This window comes from Homo sapiens, chromosome 15 (assembly GCF_000001405.40).
Source record: "Homo sapiens chromosome 15, GRCh38.p14 Primary Assembly".
NCBI lineage: Eukaryota > Metazoa > Chordata > Mammalia > Primates > Hominidae > Homo > Homo sapiens.
The window spans coordinates 40,997,644-41,016,651 of NC_000015.10; the positions used below are offsets into that span (position 1 = coordinate 40,997,644).

General features: G+C 39.7%; 1 protein-coding gene and 1 long non-coding RNA gene across 7 annotated transcripts in view; one reads left to right on the top strand and one right to left on the bottom strand.

Moving 5' to 3' along the window:
- Positions 1–19,008, bottom strand: part of INO80 (INO80 complex ATPase subunit) — a 137,401-nt gene that overhangs the window by 18,764 nt on the left and 99,629 nt on the right. For 3 of the 6 annotated variants that reach the window (NM_017553.3, XM_047432698.1, XM_011521686.4), the window contains 2 exons: positions 18,445–18,572; positions 7,950–8,044 (listed from right to left, as the gene is read on the bottom strand). In NM_017553.3, the coding sequence (NP_060023.1) occupies positions 7,950–8,044; positions 18,445–18,572 (223 nt within the window). Of the gene's footprint in view, positions 1–7,634; positions 7,862–7,949; positions 8,045–18,444; positions 18,573–19,008 lie in introns of those variants that run through there. The other 3 variants (XM_011521685.4, XR_001751322.3, NR_104038.2) reach the window with 3 other exon arrangements.
- Positions 1,631–7,215, top strand: LOC105376713 (uncharacterized). Its single transcript, XR_001751508.2, has 2 exons — positions 1,631–1,797; positions 6,890–7,215. It is a non-coding gene; the product is annotated as an uncharacterized LOC105376713 (long non-coding RNA).

The window sequence follows — 19,008 nt, forward strand, 5'->3', positions numbered from 1 at the left end:
AAAAAATGGCATGTATCAATAGAGAGAGATCTCTGAATACAGAACATAAAGTCTAGGACTAAAAAGAGTTTTGGTGGTTACCTAGGCCTGACTGTATTTCTGTAAAGCATTATACAATGTTGCTCTGTTGTTACAACCAAACATGGAGGTCATCTTCCAATTTGCAGATAAACTTTTGCTGCCCACTAATAGATGACTGATAGGCAACACAAGTATAAACATGTAGCAAATATAACAGAAAAATGTTACCATAGATGTACAGACCTCTCTCACTGTCATATTTTTAAATCAAACCATTCCTAGCTTCCTGGTTTTCTCTAAGAATCATGACTTATAATAGTCTGGGGACTAATGTTATTATTCCAAAACACTCTTTTTTTTTTTTTTTTTTTTTTTTAGACGTAGTCTTGTTCTGTCGCCCAGGCTGGAGTGTAGAGGCGCGATCTCAGCTCACTGCAACCTCTGCCTCCTGGGTTCAAGCAATTCTCCTGCCTCAGCCTCCCAAGTAGCTGGGACTATAGGCGCTCGCCACCACACCTGCCTAATTTTTAATATTTTTAGTAGAGACGGGGTTTCATCATATTGGCCAGGCTGGTCTTGAACTCCTGACCTCGTGATCCGCCCGCCTCGGCCTCCCAAAGTGCTGGGATTATAGACGCGAGCCACCGTGCGGGGCCCCAAAGCATTCATTTTAAGATGAAGAAAGTTGAGTCCCAGAAAAATGACTCAAATAACTAAGACCCAGGCTGTGACTTTTATGTGCTAACTTGAATTTAGGATCAGTCCATGAAGACAGGCTGGAATTAAATACTTCTGGATGAATGTCAACATACCCCTTACATACAAATGATTAAATATGGTTTTCTCAGTTTCCTTCTACTTCCTATGTTCTTTCAAAGAAACACTGAATTACAAATAAACCAATAGGTACCACTGTCACTCACTCGAGCAACAAATATTTACGGAATGTCTTCTGGGAACAAGCCCATACCAGATCACAAAGGACAAGTTTTGTTTTTTTTTTTTTGAAGATGGAGTCTAGCTCTGTCACTCAGGCTGGAGTGCAGTGGCACGATCTCGGCTCACTGCAACCTCCACCTCCTTGGTTCAAGCAGTTCTCCTGCCTCAGCCTCCCGAGTAGCTGGGATTACGGGATTACAGGTGCCCACCACCATGCCTGGCTAATTTTTGTATTTTTAGTAGAGATGGGATTTCACCATGTTGACCAGGCTGGTCTCCTACCTCAGGTGATGCACGTGCCTCAGCCTCCCAAAGTGCTGGGATTCCAGGCGTGAGCCACTGTGCCCGGCAGAACAGGCTTTTGACTCTAAGATTTATCTACACACACACACACACACACACACACACACACACACAAATAAGGGCTCAGTTTGGTGCTTTAGATGGCATTAAGAAATTAATTAAAGAAAGAAAAAAGATTAGAAAATATTCTAATGCATTACAGGTCATAAAGGTAAGTAATGTTTTGTGAAGTTTCAAATATAGAATAAAGGTACTAAAATCACAGTGTAAAATTAATTTTATTTTGTGGATTCCAGTAAGGAAAACAAAAAACAAAAAACACCAGAAACAAACATACTGACATCAGGATGCTCTCATCCCTTCAGGCTATTCTTCCTTGGTAAAGTCACTTGACTGCTGACAGTCTGTTTCCTGGACTATAAAATGAAGATGCTATGAATACTGCTGAAGTGACTAACTGATGACGTATCAATGTCAAACATAAGTATCGGTGAAAGAACTATTTTGAAATAAACATCCTGGTTAATCACTAAGGTAGGTATGTCCTGTACAAATCTGCCCATTATTTACATTGAATTAAACACAACTTTCCTACAGAGGCATGGATAACAGACCACGGGTGGCGGTCTCTCAGTTAGTGATTCCAAATGCTTTGTGCTCCCATGCAAGTTCTACTAGCTTATCCTTAAATTTTATCACAAAGGTTAATATTTCGTAATTGTATTTATTTAATTCATAAAACGCCATCTTTATGATTAAATTGTGTAGTGTAAACCAAAAAGTTGAAGGGCATCTGCCAGTTTTTAAACACATTTTCCCACAGATATGGGATGATGTAAATGGAAGGAGGCAGGGTATCTCACAGGCCCAAAGAAGAGTATTTAACCACAATAAGGCTTCAAATAAAAACTGATTGAGCTTTTTAGGGCCGTACTAATCTCTGGAAGGCTGAGGTGTGAGGATCACTTGAGCCTAGGAGTTCGAGATCAGCTTGGGCAATACAGAAAGACCCTGCATCTACATAAAATTTTTTTTAAAAAAATTAGCCAGGCATGGTGGCACACACCTGTAGACCCAGCTACCTGGGAGGCTGAGGCAGCAGGATCATTTGAGCCCGAGTCCAAGGATACAGTGAGCTATATATCATACCAATGCACTCCAGCCTAAGCAACAAAGTGAGATCCCATCTCTTAAAAAGGATAAGTAATCCTTCCCACTTCCGCACTGAGAAGACTGCTCTTGCTCCATACATCTTCCTCTCCTGCTTTGGTGGGTACAAAGGCAAGGAATCAAAGGCTCCTCTCTGATACCTGCGTGAGAGTTGATGGGGTCATCCAATGGCTAGGACTTTTTTTTGTTAATTCTTGAGGAGACCCAAAATATGAGCATGGGGTAGGCGTCAGGGAATGGGTACAGGGTGGGAGTATGGGGGACTGGTGGGAAAAGACAAGGCATTTGAGAAGTACAACAAAATAAAGTATTAGAAGCAAAAAGATAAGAAATTTCTGGCCAGGTGCGGTGGCTCATGCCTGTAATCCCAACACTTTGAGAGGCTGAGGTGGGTAGATCACTTGAGGTCAGGAGTTCAAGACCAGCCTTGGCAACAGGGCGAAACCTTGTCTCTACAAAAATCCAAAAATTAGCTGGGTGTGGTGGTACGAGCCTGTAGTCTCAGCTACTTGGGAGGCTGAGGTAGGAGAGTCACTAGAGCCTGGGAGGTCAAGGATGCAGTGAGTTCTAATTGCTCTACTGTGTTCTACTGCACTCCAGAGCCTGGGTGACAGAGTGGCACCCTGTCTCAAAAAAAAAAAAAAAAAAAAAAAAGAAAGAAAAGAAAAGAGAAAGAAAAAGATGGGTAATTTCCATAGTCTGTACAGCCAGAGATTAGTTCAGATGTAATCACTTACAAATAGGGGCTATATACAGAAGAACACTAGTGAAAGAAATGTAGGTAAAAATAAATTAGTAGAAAAACTTAGAAATACAATGGTTTCTTTTGGATATCAATTATGTATTGAAAAGATGCCTTGTGATGATGAGGTAGATGAATTCAATGTAATTTTATCATATTGTAATAAAAAATAAGAATTGCAGACACCTTGGGTTCTTATAATCAAAGAAATTAGTTCCTACCGTGGACTATACTGCTGTAAAAAACAAAAGTATCTAAATCAAACTACTAAGAAGTTCCTTTCTACTGAATAACGCTATAATAGTATTGATAATGTGAATTAACATTTTAGGGGCTCTGACTAAACAGGAGAAAACAAAATCCCAGAAGGCAGCATGGTGGTCTGGGTGCCCTCTCTAGGAGGCTGAAAAGGCATCTCAACTCAGGGTCTCTTAGAACAGACCTTAAAGACTAGGCATCTGGCTGGTCTGTAAAGAGGCCTATAAAACCACACAGCAAAGACATGTGTAGGTCTCGCTCTCACTCTTCTTTAATAACCCACTGAGGTGACTTTGCACCAACATACCCAAATAGTGCTAGGCACATAGCTGACTGCAGTAAAGGCTTGTTGAATGACTGAAAAACAACCACAATGAAAGACAACTGTGAATCTCTACAACACTCACAAAGAAAAAATCCATGCTACAGTCACTTTTTCCTCATGTTTTCCAAAGAGTCACACTGAGTGGTCAGATAATGGGGAGAGGATCCATTTGGTAAAGGTCATGGGTTAGGAGGAAGGGAAGCAAAGGCCAAAGCACCACAGAGCAAAGACCTTGTGAATGGCTTCCAGGATCACGCACTGGTCACATGCCCTGAATGCTGCCCCGTCAGGACATCCTGGCCAAACAGTCTTTAGTCTCAGTCAGACTTTTTCCTGGAAGGATCCTTCATAAATAAATCTTGTATGAAAGGAATGTAAATGGCTTTTTATAGGCGTTGTTGTTTACTCTGGCTGACCTTTGACCACAGGGCTTTCCAGTTGAAACTGCAATTTTTTCTTTTGATGTCCTTCATTAACAGTAATTAAAATATTTGGGAAGGAGTGCTTGTGTCCAAAAACACCTGTCTTTTTCTCTATATCAGGCGATTGCAGTCACTCAAATTTATAAGTTGAGCATTTTCCGCCCTTTGGAGGGGTCAGCATATGCATAGTCCAGATTCTACACATGAGAAATAGATTACTTCTTTGCCATAATCCCAACTCTAAGCAACCAGTTTGTAATGTAGGCAGGGATCAGAAGGAGACTTTAGTCTCTTTTTCCATTTTGCCCAATATTAGACAGAGGGTGTTAAAATGATGGTTACCCAAATGTTGACTCTAAATAACATTCACTGTTACCTAAGTAATTCTAAGTTGTAGAGTCTGAAGGCTCAAGCAAGATTTCCTAATAAAATCTGTGAAAAATTACATTTTTACTAAGTAGAGCCAAGTAAAATTTAATGGTGAAAATGCCACTCTTTTAGAGCTAAACTTTTCAAAATCATTGTGCACTACTACTGGGACTGCCCAAGTAATTCTGCTTCCCAAGTTAAGTAAGATATTTCAGAGGTAATAAATTATACACCTCCTGATTTTTTTCCACCACAAAGGTACTGCAAAATATACTGAGCCCTGGGTCTCACAGCCCAGTTTTCTAATAATTGGGTAAGCCAGGAGAACGACTGCGGCTCTAAAACTCAGAAGCCCAAATCACTAGAAGTCAACATACTACAGCTCTGGTTGGGGTCTATATTAGCAGAATTTTCTACAAAGAAATATACATAGTCTTAAATGTTCTTATCCTTTCACTCAGTAATTTCCCATGTTTGAATCTATGCTAAGACAGTAATCTAAAATAGTGACAAAGCTTTATACACAAAAATATTCACTCAACATTTCTAGTAGATATTTCTATTCAATAGAAAAGTGGTATATATACCCAGTGTTAACAGAATAGTGATCATTAAAAATGTTGTCGGCAAGGCTGGATGCGGTGGCTCACGCCTGTAATCCCAGCATTCTGGGAGGCCGAGGCGGGTGGATCATGAGGTCAGGAGATTGAGACCATCCTGGCTAACATAGTGAAACCTTGTCTCTACTAAAAATACAAAAATACAAAAATACAAAAAATTAGCCAGGCGTGGTGGCAGGCGCCTGTAGTCCCAGCTACTCGGGAGGCTGAGGCAGGAGAATCGCTTGAACCCAGGAGGTGGAGGTTGCAGTGAGCCAAGATCACGCCACTGCACTCCAGCCTGGGTGACAGAGCGAGACTCTGTCTCAGAAAAAACAAAAACAAAAACAAAAGTTGTTGGCAAAGGCTTTTTAATGATATATGAAAATGGTTATGACAGAATATTAAGTAGAAGAAATCAGGATACAAAATCCCACCTATAATATAATAGTATAAATATAACCCTATACATACATTAAAGACTAGAGGATATACCAAAATGTTAAAAGTAGTGGGATTGTGGGTGATTTTTCTTTTCTTTTCTTTTTTTTTTTTTTGAGATGGAGTCTCGCTCTGTCACCCAGGCTGGAGTGGAGTGGTGGATCTCTGCTCACTCTAACCTCCAACTCCCGAATTCAAGTGATTCTCCTGCCTCAGCCTCCCGAGTAGCTGGGATTACAGGCGCCCACCACCACGCCCAGCTAATTTTTGTATTTTTAGTAGAGACGGGGTTTCACCATGTTGGCTGGGCTGGTCTCGAACTCCTGACCTCAGATGACCCGCCCACCTCGGCCTCCCAAAGTGCTGGGATTACAGGCGTGAGCCACTGTGCCTGGACTTTATTTTCATCTTTAAATATTTTTCAAATTTTTCTCAATAGGCATTTCATTATAATCTATAAAGTCCCCAACTGTTACTGAAGAAAAACAAAACATTACTGTTAAAAAGATCCTTAAATGTACAGTATCAAATATACTAGTGGAAAATAAAAACAGTATCAGGTGAAATACCTATTACTTAATGGCTTTTCTCATAATTCACAAAGCATGCCACCCCATACCAGTATGCCCACATCACAGATATACTGGCATGACTGGAGAAAATACAGGCACTCTGAGGAAACATACAGTCTATAGCTCGCACATAAGATTCTTGTCAAGTTGCAGCTCTGAGGCTGGAGTAGGTAAGGACATGACATGATAAAATATGTATCACTGATTTCAGAATTAAGAAAAGATGAAGATCACCCAGTAATTTTTTTTCCTCTTTTTGCCAAAACAATGTGGTGGAATAAGGAGGCACAATGCTTATGTTTCAAATAATTGGTTTTAGAATCTACTGGTAGCTTCCGCTAGGTGAGAAGCTAGGTTAGGCTATCCACACAGCTGCACGAGGGTAACAAATGGAAACGGGTTTGAAGCAGATCTTCTCCTTATTGTTGGTCAAACAGGCACCTGGAATTCTGGTGTGTAGTTTTAACTTAGGAAAAATTCTTTAAACAGAGGACACTCTATGTTGAATTGTGGATGTGTTTTATGCCAAATTATTTTATGTCTGAATTAAACTATGCTTTAGAACTGAATGGAATTAAAAATTGTAATCTAAATAAAATGGCTATGTGCTTAATTTTCTTAATAAGAATTCAGAAGTGAAATATTAAGAGGCCATGCAATTAAAAGCCAAAGTCAAAGCTGTTCTGATTTACTGACATTAAGATCTGCTTTATTCCTTGGCTCTCCAGGTCTAAGGAGGAAAACTGAAGACGAAGTTCAACAGACCCGTCACTAGTGGAGCCTGGCTTTCTCCTTGGAGAAAGCAGTAACCAGACTCTACCTATTACAATGAGAAGCTGCACTCAGGATAATTATGGCTCGGTAAACCATCAGCATTCAGCAGGCAGTAATTGAAATTTCATAGGCTCATTAGCAGGTGGGAGAGGTACTGTGGCTGAGAGCTGCCAGCTGAGTAGATTGTACAGTATTGCAATTTGTCATAAGGCACTGTACTGCTACTATGTTAAAAGGAAAGCAGGAAAATAAAAGGTACTTTTTCTTATACAAAATGAAACACAGAAACAAACTAATAACTTTAAGTCATTACTCAGAAAGTGCTACTGTTAGTGGCCGGGATCACTGGTTCATCCCTATAATCCTAGCACTTTGGGAGGTGGAAGTGGGTGGATCACTTGAGCCCAGGATTTCAAGACCAGTCTGGCCAACATGGTGAAATCCTGTCCCTACTAAAAATACAAAAATTAGCTGGATGTGGTGGCGCATGTCTGTAATCCCAGCTACTTGGGAGGCCGAGGCACAAGAATTGTTTGAACCGGGGAGGCGGAGGCTGCAGTGAGCTGAGATCATGCCACTGCACTCCAGCCTGGGTGACAGGGAGAGACTGTCTCACACACACAAAAAAAAAAAAAAAAAAAAAGAAATGGCTACTGTAAGCAATGAGGAATACAGGCTGGTGGATTTTTTTCTACATACCTATTATCCATTGAGGAGGATCTTGGTTCATACTTAGAAATGATTTCTTTTATTATCCAAAGAAATAGGCACTGGTGTCATAAGAAAGCATACTTCAAACATACAAACTATCAGGTATATTCTCTTTTTCTCTCCCAGACACATAGATCTGAATTATGATAAGCAGATTTAGTAACTTCTTAAAATGGCAGGAATTACATCTTGATTCCTTAACAATCTCAGATGTCCTGGCATTTAAAAAAAAAAAAAAACTTACCATTTCAAGCACTAGAGGGAAATTAAAAAGATAATTTTTGTAATTCCCATGAACATTACCTGTTCTGAAAATCAGCAACCATGTCTCGCCTCTCCGAGATCTTGGATGAGCCATCAAGCCTCATGTAGGTATGCTTCCTGTAAACCATGTATTCCTGCCAACCAGGATAAAAGGACACAGTAAATCTGATGCAAATTACTGTATTCTGATTTCCACAGGCATCTACCCATCTTCTACCTTGTCCACACTGGAGGCAAGCCATTATAACCAGAATGGGGAGAGAGTAACCCCAAGAGTACAAGAAGTTAATCTGTAAATGAGTTTACTGCCAATGTGTGAAAATCCAGGGCAATCTGAAGATTATAATCACTCTCAATTTCAGTTTGGAACCTAATCTTATTCCTGTAAATTCCTGTAGGTTTCATTAAAAAAAAAAAAAAAAAAAATTCCACAAACCAAAATAGTTTTTCAGTCATCAACCAGATATCTTTCACAGCTATGAAAATACCTACTTTTTTTGTCAGTGAATAACATTCACTGAAACGAATGTGTTTCCCCAGAGCAAACCTTTACTGATTAAAATGCTTAAATTTACAGCCTAAGCTTCCTTCTCCCAACAGAGCATGCATCACTGTTATGGGAGGCCTAAGCATCAGAGTAAAACAAAAGACAAGGTAATTTTCTATGGCAGAGAATGTTCTTGACATCATCAAGAGGAATTACAACTTTTAAGAATGAAGAGACTCCAAAAGATACAATAGAGAGACTGCCTCTCCATTCTTAGAAATTGCAATTCTTCTTATAGTTATGTCCAAATGAACATTTATTTCCTCTTTTGTTATCTCTGATTATGCTACAAAAAGTCCACTTGTAGAAGAACTAGTATCAAAAACTCAACACAGCTGCCTATTTATAAGAAACAGCATAAAATAGTTGATTCGGTTCTAAAATAACTTCTCTATTGAAAAAGACTAATCATTTCTACATTTGGGAAATGTTTGTGTTAATTAGTTTTCTGTGGTCAAATGTTCTTATACTGCAATATTTTCATATGTAACTCTTATACTTGGTGGGGCATTTTAGCACATCAGGTTGCTGTAGTTTGGAATATCTGGTGCAGCGTATGTGACAGCCTATTCTTAGATGGAGTGAGTGCCAAGAACTTGGCAGAGGTCTCTGGCTAGGGTACATGTGAAGCGAAGCTGGTCAACAAAGTAGACAAGCTCATTGACATATGCATCTTCATTGTGTTTTATATTTGGTTTAATTTTGATTTTTTAATTTTTTACCATTTCTGTCTCAAAGTGGTTCCTTAAGAGCTGTGATAATCAAAGAGAAGCATAAAATAAAGTGAGCTTCAAGTTCATACTTAGTGGTATTGCTATATCGTAGGACTGAACTAATGGCAGAAGGGTAGGGGGCGTTTTGGATAAAAAGGACTTCAAGAAAGAAGGTATAAAATGATAGCAAGATGATGGTCCTTAGAGGCTTGCTATACCTTTTGCAGCTAATCCAATCACAGAACGTTGCAATCAGAACAACAAAGTAACTAGACAATACCAAGACAGTTTACAGAGACACCCAAAACACAGATTATAATTTTAGCAAAAAGGTAGGCTTCCTGCACAGGCACTCTTTTTTTTTTTTTCTTTTTTTTTTTTTTTTTTTTAGACACTGTCTTGCTCGTCACCCAAGCTGGAGTGCAGTGGCACAATCGTGGTTCACTGCAACCTCCTCCTCCCAGGTTCAAGCGATTCTCCTGCCTCAGCCTCCCTAGCAGCTGGGATTACAGGCAACTGCCACCACACCTGGCTAATTTTTCTATTTTTAGTAGAGATGGGGTTTCGCCATGTTGGCCAGGCTGGTCTTGAACTCCTGACCTCAGGTGATCTGCCCACCTCAGCCTCCCAAAGTGTTGGGATTACAGGTGTGACCCACTGAGCCAAGCCTGATTTGCCTTTTAAACTGAACTTCTAGCCTCATAAAAGCATTGATGAATGAATCTTCTAGTAAATTTTGCTGTTTATATATTTATATATCAAGGCCAGCACAACCCCGGGGATATTAATCCTAGACCATAATCAAACCAACCCTGATTATAGAGAGCCTGTTACTGAGGCAACAGAAGTGAATTATTCCCTTCCACTGCTTCAAGTCTTAGCTCTTGAACTAAGACGAGCAGTGGGACTTCAGGCTTTAGTAAATTTAGAGTCTATTTCAGTAAATAGCTTCAAAAAAAAAAAAAACAAGAAAATGGACATGGAAAGATGTGTTAAAAGGCTGAATAGAGCGACATCTACATCCTCACACTATAGGAAAACACCTAAAAGACAAAGGTTGGGGCCAGGTATGGTGGTTGGCTGGACGAAGTGGCTCACGCCTGTAATCCCAGCACTGTGGAAGGTCGAGGTGGGTGGATCACTTGAGATCAAGAGTTCGAGACAAGCCTGGCCAACATGGCGAAACCCCATCTCTACTGAAAATACAAAAATTAGCTGGGTGTGCTGGTATGTGCCTGTAGTCCCAGCTACTCAGGAGGCTGAGGTGGGAAGATCATCTGAGCCCAGGGAGTTTGAGGCTGCAGTGAGCCAAGATCATGCCACAGCACTGCAGCCTGGGCAACAGGGTGATTGTCTCAAAATAAACAAACAAAACAGGTGAATGGATAAAGAATATGTGATATATATACATACACACACACACACACACACACACACACACGAATATTATTCAGCCTTAAAAAGAAGGAAATCAACATGAATAAACCTGATTCTGTTAAGTAAAATATGCCAGACATGGAAAGACAAATACTGCATGGTTCAACTTATATGTGCAAGCTTAAAAAGTTAAAACTCATAAAAGTAGAGAGTAGAAGGGTGGTTGCCAGGGGGTAGGGGAAATGGGGAGATGTTGGTCAAAGGGTACAAAGGTTCAGTTATGCAAAATGAAAAAATCCTGGAGATCTAATGTACATCATGGTAACTAGAGCTAATAATATTGTATCGTATATGTGAACTCTTCTAAGAGAGACAATATCACATGGTCGACCTTAAATATATACAATTTTTATTTATCAAGCATACATCAATAAAGCTGTAGCTGGAAAAAGCTTCAAAGATTATTCTGATAGCCTATATCAGCAGCTGAGAGCAACCACTAGAAAGGGAAGGCAAGGCAGTTTCCCTTTGAACCTTGCCATTCAGCATGGCCCTCAAATGGGCAGCACTTGTACCACCTGAGGTCTGTTAGAAATGCAGAACTGAGGGACACATCCCTTACCTAGTAAATCATAATCTGCATTTTATTTTTATTTTTTTTGAGATGGAGTCTCGCTCTGTTGCCCAGGCTGGAGCGCAATGGTGAGATCTTGGCTCACAGCAACTTCCACTTCCGGGGTTCAAGCGATTCTCCTGCCTCAGTCTCCCAGGTAGCTGGATTATAGGCATGCGCCACCATGCCTGGCTAAGTTTGTATTTTTAGTGGAGATGGGGTTTCACCATGTTGGTCGGGCTGATCTCAAACTCCTGACCTCAGGTGATACATGCGCCTTGGCTTCCCAAAGTGCTGGGATTGCAGGCATCAGCCACCACACCTGGCATAACGTGCGTTTTAATAACATTTGATTCGAAAGCATTAATTTTGAGAAACACTATTGTAGAACATATGCGGTTTTTGTTTTTAAGTTCCTTATACTGTTCTTTTTTTTTTTTTATTATACTTTAAGTTTTAGGGTACATGTGCACAATGTGCAGGTTAGTTACATATGTATACATGTGCCATGCTGGTGCACTGCACCCACTAACTCGTCATCTAGCATTAGGTATATCTCCCAATGCTATCCCTCCCCCCTCCCCCCACCCCACAACAGTCCCCAGAGTGTTATGTTCCCCTTCCTGTGTCCATGTGTTCTCATTGTTCAATTCCCACCTATGAGTGAGAATATGCAGTGTTTGGTTTTTTGTTCTTGCGATAGTTTACTGAGAATGATGATTTCCAATTTCATCCATGTCCCTACAAAGGACATGAACTCATCATTTTTTATGGCTGACATATGCGTTTTGGTTTTGTTTTGTTTTTGAGGCAGGGTCTTGCTCTATTGCACAGGATGAAGTATAGTTTTCTTGGATCACTGCAGCCTCGACCTCCTGGGCTCAAATGATCCTCTCACCTCAGCCTCCCAAGTAGTTGGAACTATAGGCATGCACTACTATGCCCAGCTAATTTTTAAATTTAAATTTAAATTTTTATAGAGATGGGGGTCTTGCTATGTTGTCCAGGCTGGTCTTGAACTCCTGGGCTCAAGTGATTCTCCTCCCTTGGCCTTCCAAAGTGCTAGGATTACAGGTGTAAGCCACTGTGCCCGGCCAAACATACCTGTTTTAAAAGCATCGGAACACTTTCTTCAAGCAAATTCTTACACGGAACCCCTCTAATATATAAAATAGATAAAAGCATCGCTATCCTGACTGATAAAGAGTGGCCATCTCCGCTTAATATCTACTGGTCCTCTAACACATCCCATCAGTCTGAAAACCACTGTTTTACTATACAAGTTGAGAAGACAATGCTCTGCTTGCATGCCACTGATTAAAAAGTAGGACTTACAGATCACATCCACACACCACATCAGTGGCATGCAAACAGAGCTGCCAGCATAACTCAAGATAGTTTTACTGAGCATTCACTAACTGCCAGTCACTGTTCTATTTTACCTGGTTATGTTTATCCAATCATTATGGCAACCTTTAAGGTAGGTGCTATTAAATATTTTTTTAATTTCTCTTTTAATTTTTTTTCCCCCAGGATCAGAGATCACAATCAAAATCTTCATGATCTGTTCTGTAACAGCTTCCAATCACCTCCTTTTTAAATTTTTTTTTTTTAGATTTTTAATTTTCATGGGTATATAGTAAGGGTAGGTGTTATTATTGTCCCTCCTATCTTACAGATGTTAAGGTCCCTAAAGTGACACAGGCAGTAGGTGGCAGACCTAGGACTGAAACTCAAGCAGATTGGTTCCAGAGTCCATGGCTTAACCCTCCTACTGTTTCCCAGATGGAAGGGATGATCAGTACTACTAAGATGAAAATAGAAAGGGAGCCCCATTTAACCCTAAGGTTCTTAATATATCCTGTCCATAACCTGATCTATCATCATCATAAAGGATAATTGGACACTTGAAAAAATAAAGGCAAATGTTTATATATCCTATTACCAACCTTTCATTCTGAAACTTCTATTCCAAAGCTGGCTCTGACTTTCATTTTAACCAGATTTCATTTTGATAAAACAATTTAGGGGAAGGACTCAATATGGTCCACAAACCTGCAGATCTGATGTAATTTTATTTTCTTGGACATGCTGTTTTCCATCTTTTGGGGTATATCATTAGCAAAAGGCTACTCTATTACAATTTTTCTGCAGTCCAAGCAAATTGAACCAAGAGTTAAATATGACAGCCGTAATTCCCTTATCTAATACAGAGCCCTTTGGAGCAAGACTAGCAAAAGGCAATCATGGGCCCAAAATAATCTGACTTCAACCTACTCCTGTTATTTCCCTTTCTTCTATGCCATATGTTCCAGTCACAATGGACTACTCTTGTACCTTTCTATCTCTCTTTTTACATCTGGCTTCCTTAGTCTCAAATTCCTTTCTCCCTGATGGTTGAAATTCTATTTGTTCTTAAGTTCAGATGCCACTGTCTTTGTGATGCTTTCCTCAAGAGTGACTCAGTTAGAAATAAACATATCCTTCTTGCTATCCTCAGCTCTGTTCACGCTTCATTTTGACATTAGTATCAGGGTACACTGACAGGTATTTGTGTATGTATATGTCTCCTCCACTAAATAGATTCCTTAAAGTCAAACATCACGTCTAACTAATATTTGCATCTGCCTAGCATTAATGCCTTGCTCAAAGGTAGCATGGAGGAAAAAAGAATTTAAAAAAGCTTATACACAGCATGGTTGTAAGCTGACAAATTTCCTTCTACAATTCTTAAGACCTAATAAGAACTCTAGTTAACAGTGGCCCCAATTTTCTTTCTTTTTTTTTTTTTGAAAGGAAGTAAAGTACACTTGGAAGAAGGCCAAGAAGGCAACTTAAGATATCAAGTGTGCCAATCCAATTTGCTTTTCATTCCATGGGGCATTTTCAGAATACCCAGCTTCCCAGTATCTTCAGAATCACAGCTTCCAAAGGTAACCTGCATTTCTAAGAGAGGCCAACTCATAAATGACAGAATGTCTGCTCAGGATAAATCTTCCCCCAGTGAGGCACTGCGCTTGGATAGATGACTGAGCAAGTTACACAACCCAGGGTCTCAAATGTCATTATGTATGGATTACCTGGATTTAATTCTATATTACACTATTATCATATGTTGGTAGAGTTCAAGATTTGTCTGGATTTCAGTATTTAACAATTACACCACATATAGCATAAGCTGATTAACTCTTTCCAAGTACTCTTTATTGTATAGGAAGTATCAAGTGGCCTATTTCCTTAAACTACAAACTCAGTTGCTAGATGCAATAGGAATGAAACTCAAAAGAGAAGACTCAGAGATAAGTCATCTGTAATAAGTTAAAAGCTCTTTGCTACTAGAATACAGAGAAGAGTCCCTAACCATGGTAAAACTGGTGGTAGCAGGAAAAGTTCTGCCTGACATCCAGCTGGATACCACCATCCCAAATGCACAGGGATTATGTGTTCCCCTAGTATGCCCAACAGCCAAGATCCTATAGGTGGCCAGGCGTGGTGGCTCACGCCTGTAATCCCAACACTTTGGGAGGCCAAGATGGGAGGATTACTTGAGGTCAGGAGTTTGAGACCAGCCTGGCCAACATGGTGAAACCCCATCTCTACAAAAATACAAAAATTAGCCAGGCGTGGTGATGCGCGCCTGAAATCCCAGCTGCTCTGGAGGCTGAGGAAGAATTGCTTGAACCCGGCAGCTGGAGGTTGCAGTGAGCTGAGATCCCGCCATTGCACTCCAGCCTGGGTGACAGAGCGAGACTCTTTTTAAAAAAAAAAAAAAAAGATCCTATAGGCGATTCAGTAAATATAAAATAAACTCATAATGACATTTATTGATCTATGATTTCCTCACCTATTTATGTCCTTGGCTTCTGCCCGTGGCAAACTAAAAACTCCTGGCTTGGAAATTAAGCAGTCTCCTCTTCACTATTTTTGTTTTTCTTAGTGCCCATTTGTTACAGCAAAAGCACTCTCCTTTTAAAAATCCCCTATCTAGAAATACTACTATTTGGATGCCATGTGAAAGAATACAACATTTCTGAATATAGTCTATTTGGAAGAAGATCTGATATATACACAAGAAATTTAAAGTCAGATTTTTACCCAAGGGAAAAAGGAAGCGATCAATGACTTTAAAAAATACTGTGCAAATAGTAATGTCCAAAACTAGTATTTCTCACAGAATGGAAACCTGGCCATAGAGAAGTATGTGAATTCTTAATGTCTTCTAGTTCTGCCAAGTCCCAGAAACAGACAGCCAGCCATGGCTAAGGCACATAACAACAACAACAACAACAACAACAACAACCACCACAACAAAAACCCAAAAAGGCTGTTGGATGAAAGAGAGTTGCTCACATACTCCACAGCAACACAGAGCTTTGATACCCGCAATGTGAGTTTCTAACTCTTACTCTATTGGAAGCATTTCTTTCTCTCTTTGAAGAGGGTATACGATTTCAAGAGAAAAAGGAAAATCCTGAAATAAAAACAAAACAACCAACATTTTGAGACTTAAGTTTGTGTTTTTTCTTAAGATCAAGTATACTCAATGGACAGGATCTATTCAGAAGGTCCCACTGCAAGATCATGTACCAGGTCATGCTTTAATGCTGAAACATGGCTTTAATGAATGTTAATACTCAGAGTTTCTATTATGAAAGTGACTGAAAAACACTCTTTCAAAGATAAAAAAACGCAGACCTAGTGCTGCACCATCTCAAGTCGTACAATATGTTTATATTTCAATCAATGATTAAATATATGGTAAACACTTTGGGCATTGTAATTCCATGCTCATAAATTAAATTCTATTTCAGTACTAATCTCCTGGAATACAGAATGTGGTTCATTTGAGTGGGTAATATTAAAACAAATTAAAAATGAATAAACTTTAAGAAATTAAAGGAAGAACCATTAGTGTAGTATTAAGGAAACCAGAGAAGAATTTCATTTTAGTTTTTAAAACATACAAATAGTTGCAACATTTTCTGGTTTCAACATCCAAGATGCATGTTATACATATGGCTAAGCAATGTCAGCAGTTGTGAAATTCAGGCTTTGAATTTGCATTTCCCTAATTTGGAATTCCCCTTAGAAATACATCTATGTTTAGAGAGGTTCTCAAGCTGCTTGTTTGCAAAACCTACCCACTAGGTCCATAACCCAAAAATAACTGTTGGATTATAGATAGAGAGGAAGTGATCCTGGTGGGTAGAGTTTACAGCACTTATCCTGAACAAAGCTTATCATACTCTGAATTACTTATTTTAGTAATATTTAATGAGAACCTAGAAGTGTGCGATACACCGAGGGAAGGACTATAATAAAGGCTGTATCAAACTTAAACCACCTACACTCACCTTCACCTACCGAAGCTAGTTTATTTTTGGATTGCTCATTCACATTCCCTTGGAACTTTCCTTTCATATGAATCAACATGTAAGACTATAGTCTTGGAAAAGAAATACCATTATGTCCCTTACCAGTATCCTTAGCATACTGCTTTTTCTTTAATTGTTAGCAGCTGAAGATCACTACTTTAGCTATACTTTCCCTGCCTCTTGAGGACAAGGAAAGTGCACTTTACCTAAAAAGAGCCCCACTGCAGGAAAAGTTACTCATGTTGTTTTGGCTGTTGGGATCATCTGTTTGAACAGAACACTAGACATGCAGGCAGTCCTTTTATTTTGGATTACTACTGTTAGGATATTTAACATAGTTAATATATACATCAAACACAACAGCTTAATCACCTCTCTTATGGTGACTTACATTCACTCATAAGCACTTCCATCATTTAGGAATAAGTGGCCTACTCATAATACAAACCAGAGAGTTTAGTCTGTCAACAGCATTCAAGGGGCTATGAAACCTAAGACTTAGTGCTGAAACTGACCCCAAAAATCATTTATGTCTCTTGCTAAAAGAAGTTGCCGGATTATTAAAAGAAACCTCCCACTGATTTCAGATAAATTCATTGCAAAATTCAACAAGCCAATCTTGGCTTCCAAAAAGCCTGAAAACCCTCCTTAATGCTAGCCTTCATTCCTTCTGTACTGATATGGTCCCTATTGCTTTATTCCTAGATAAGGAAAATAACAGTACAATTTCCACTTACTTATTACGATTCCCTGGTGTAGCAGGGCGAGGGTATGAAGCCTTACACATGTAAAAACATGAGAACATTTATGTACTTCTGACAACCAGGTACTTCTGCCTCTCAAACTTTATTTATATAAAGACTTATTGTACTAGTTTGTGATTATCTGTTCTCATTTTCACTCTCCTGTTTCTAGGTCTGTGACCTCCTGTCCCTTAAAAAATAAGTCACCACTCAGACAAGAAAAAGAAAAACTTCAACAAAGAAGCAATTAAAGAAACAAAAGCTGCCTTGCACAGTCATATCTTTTCCACTAACTTAGTAGCTGTCAAGCCTGGTTGCATATTAGAATCACCCCAGGACCTTTTAAATATCCTGATGCCCAGGCCTCATTTCAAATGTAATAAATAAGAATCTCTGGAAATAGGACTAGAAATCCATATTTTTTTAAAGCTTCTCAGGTGATTGCGATATGTAGTCAAGTTGAGAATCACTATATTAACTCAGGTTGAATAGCTGTTCTCTGCTTTTTTACGCAGAGAACTAATCCTAAATCTTGTTTTCCATACATAATTTTAGATTCCTAGGCTGTGACCTACTTTAAAATTAAGAAATGTCTTCCCTAGTAAAAGGATGTAAGGGGTGTTCTATTTCACTGGTGTAGGGCAGGGGGCAGAAGTCCTTCACATACTCCCCATGCCAGGAGCTAACTCTGCTCCCTTTATAGATTGTAAAATCAAAAAAAGGAGTTTTGGGGGCTGCGTGTGGTGGCTCATGCCTGTAATCCCAACTCTTTGAGAGGCTGAGGTGGGTGGATCACTTGAGGCCAGGAGTTCAAGACCAGCCTGGCTAACATGGCGAAACCCCATCTCTACTTAAAAAAAAAAAAAAAAAAAAAAAAGAGCTGAGTGTGGTGGTGCACGCCTGTAATCCCAGCTACTCGGGAGACTGGAGCAGAAGAATTCCTTGAACCTGGAAGGCAGAGGTTGCAGAGCCGAGATCGCATCACTGCACTCCAGCCTGGGTGATAGAGTGAGACTCTGTCTCAAAAAAAAAAAAAAAGGAAAAAGAAAAAAGACAAAAGGGAGTTTTGGGGCTCCCATTAAGCAGGACTAACATTAGTCATGGACATCTGATTCCTACAAATTAAATGTCAAGGTATCCTAGGTCCCCAAGATTCCCTCTCCTACCTCCAGTAGGTCTATCATCCTGGTCATCTGGGAGTAGATAAGGACCCTATGCCCTTGAGACTTGAGCCGAGTCAGCAGGACATCAAGGGCATACAGCTTTCCACTGTCAGTGATGAGGCTCTCCTTGCCTGGGGAGAAGAAAAGGGGGTGAGGGGGAACTGTATTTAATTGAAGCGACAAAATCACTCAATGCAAAGCTGTATGCAACCACAATCACTAAAACCAAGATGCTTGTCATCATGAGATCAGAAAAGTGCTCTAAAGGGAGAATGCAACGCCCTGAAAATATCACGACTCCAGGAGTGCCCTGGGAAAAAACATCCCCAAAGGGGGAAGTGCAGATTCCCTGATCACTCCCAATCAGACATGTGCTCTTAAGGCACTTAAAAGCATCCCTGCTCCACATCCTTACTCAGAGGACACCAGGTATACATGGACATCTATGGGTGACATCTATGTCAATCTGCTGTTAAGTGACCTGAAAATTTTGTTTTTTCTTTGTTCATCCTATCTCTAGATATCTGTTTCTGCTAGTTCTGAAAGCATTGAGAACGTATCCTACCT